This window comes from Homo sapiens, chromosome 9 (assembly GCF_000001405.40).
Source record: "Homo sapiens chromosome 9, GRCh38.p14 Primary Assembly".
In the NCBI taxonomy this organism is placed as follows: Eukaryota; Metazoa; Chordata; class Mammalia; order Primates; family Hominidae; genus Homo; species Homo sapiens.
The window spans coordinates 21225899-21228439 of record NC_000009.12 but is presented as its reverse complement, the minus strand read 5'-3'; the positions used below and the strand labels follow the sequence as shown (position 1 = coordinate 21228439).

The 2541-nt window shown below is 34.7% G+C and overlaps 1 protein-coding gene across 1 annotated transcript; it reads left to right on the top strand.

Moving 5' to 3' along the window:
- Positions 1-217: 217 nt before the first annotated feature.
- On the top strand, positions 218-1197 carry IFNA17 (interferon alpha 17). Its single transcript, NM_021268.2, has one exon. The coding sequence runs from the start codon at positions 267-269 to the stop codon at positions 834-836; it is 570 nt and encodes a 189-aa protein (NP_067091.1). The 5' UTR covers positions 218-266; the 3' UTR covers positions 837-1197.
- The last annotated feature ends 1344 nt before the right edge of the window (positions 1198-2541 follow it).

The following is a 2541-nucleotide window of genomic DNA, read 5'->3' as shown; positions in this document are numbered from 1 at the left end:
TTACAAAAAAATACCATAAAAGACTTTGAGTGCAGGGGAAAAATAGGCAATGATGAAAAACAATGAAAAACATTCTTAAACACATGTAGAGAGTGCAAAAAGAAAGCAAAAACAGACATAGAAAGTAAAACTAGGGCATTTAGAAAATGGAAATTAGTATGTTCACTATTTAAGGCCTATGCACAGAGCAAAGTCTTCAGAAAACCTAGAGGCCAAAGTTCAAGGTTACCCATCTCAAGTAGCCTAGCAACATTTGCAACATCCCAATGGCCCTGTCCTTTTCTTTACTGATGGCCGTGCTGGTGCTCAGCTACAAATCCATCTGTTCTCTAGGCTGTGATCTGCCTCAGACCCACAGCCTGGGTAATAGGAGGGCCTTGATACTCCTGGCACAAATGGGAAGAATCTCTCCTTTCTCCTGCCTGAAGGACAGACATGACTTTGGACTTCCCCAGGAGGAGTTTGATGGCAACCAGTTCCAGAAGACTCAAGCCATCTCTGTCCTCCATGAGATGATCCAGCAGACCTTCAATCTCTTCAGCACAGAGGACTCATCTGCTGCTTGGGAACAGAGCCTCCTAGAAAAATTTTCCACTGAACTTTACCAGCAACTGAATAACCTGGAAGCATGTGTGATACAGGAGGTTGGGATGGAAGAGACTCCCCTGATGAATGAGGACTCCATCCTGGCTGTGAGGAAATACTTCCAAAGAATCACTCTTTATCTAACAGAGAAGAAATACAGCCCTTGTGCCTGGGAGGTTGTCAGAGCAGAAATCATGAGATCTCTCTCTTTTTCAACAAACTTGCAAAAAATATTAAGGAGGAAGGATTGAAAACTGGTTCAACATGGCAATGATCCTGATTGACTAATACATTATCTCACACTTTCATGAGTTCCTCCATTTCAAAGACTCACTTCTATAACCACCACGAGTTGAATCAAAATTTTCAAATGTTTTCAGCAGTGTAAAGAAGCGTCGTGTATACCTGTGCAGGCACTAGTACTTTACAGATGACCATGCTGATGTCTCTGTTCATCTATTTATTTAAATATTTATTTAATTATTTTTAAGATTTAAATTATTTTTTTATGTAATATCATGTGTACCTTTACATTGTGGTGAATGTAACAATATATGTTCTTCATATTTAGCCAATATATTAATTTCCTTTTTCATTAAATTTTTACTATACAAAATTTCTTGTGTTTGTTTATTCTTTAAGATAAAATGTCGAGGCTGACTTTACAACCTGACTTAAAAATATATGATTTAATTAAGTTATCTATCATAATTTTATTCAAGTTATTAAAAAAACATTTTTCTGTACCTGGTTATATGTTGCCTTCAAGATATAAACGTGAACATAAAATATACAGTCCCTGTTCTCTTGTATCTTTGATTTTTGTCAGGAAAGAAATCTAAAAACAATAATAATGCTGAATTAATATCAGTGATGCTAACTGCTATAATGTGAGGAAGTAAAATACAATGAATTCCTCTTAGCAGAATGTAGATTGAGACATATCTGGAAATAAAAGCAGAGATATTCTCTGTAAACTGACTTCAACATGTAATTGAAGATGTACATTGCAAGTCAGATATGTGAATTTGCAGTTTCCAAGGCATACGAAATCTGGAAGTTCATAACTGGCAATGGAAAGCCCGAAAATGAAGGCTGTCATGTGGGGAGCAAGTGGAGAGGGAAAAAAAGACTTAAACTGGATTCTGAGAACCTTCCACCATTAAAGTGGGGGTACAGAAGAGTCACAAAGAAAACAGAGGTGGAAAACCTTAACATTAGAAGGACGAGAGGGAATGATGATAAAAGATATACCTAATGCTAAATGACGAGTTAATGGGTGCAGCACACCAGCATGGCACATGTATACATATGTAACTAACCTTCACATTGTGCACATGTACCCTAAAACTTATAGTATAATAATAATAAAATTAAATTAAATTTAAAAAATTAAAAAAGTGTATTTAGAAAATAAATGTGCTTAGAAAAGAAATCAATAAACTTATGGAAAATGTGAATTAAAACTGAGCACTACAGCAAGAAAATAGATGGCAATGCAGAGCTTACTGAGAGCTGGATTGATAGAATTAATCAGCAGAAGCCATACTGGGGTAGGTAGAAGAGTGAATCAGAAAAGAAAAATCAAGATAACACATACAGAAAATTGTGAGAGATCTGCCTTTGCAATGGAGGGAAGTCATAAGCTGGAACCCCCAAAACTGTGGATTATCTTTTATCTGCATAGTGTTTCCTTTTTGAAAATACATGTCAATGAATAAATTTCATAAATGTGATGCATTGGTAAATCATATAAATACATTTAATATTTTATATATTTAAAGCATAAAATATAAAATTATTTACAATAGTAATTGATCATTATTGTGATTAATACTCTGTTAAATGTCAGTAAAAACTGACACATTTCTTTCATAAAATAAAATTAGAAACTGGAAAAGAGAATCTCTTTCTCAATACTTTAGGAATGGGGAAAGGATTCCCTATTTAATAAGT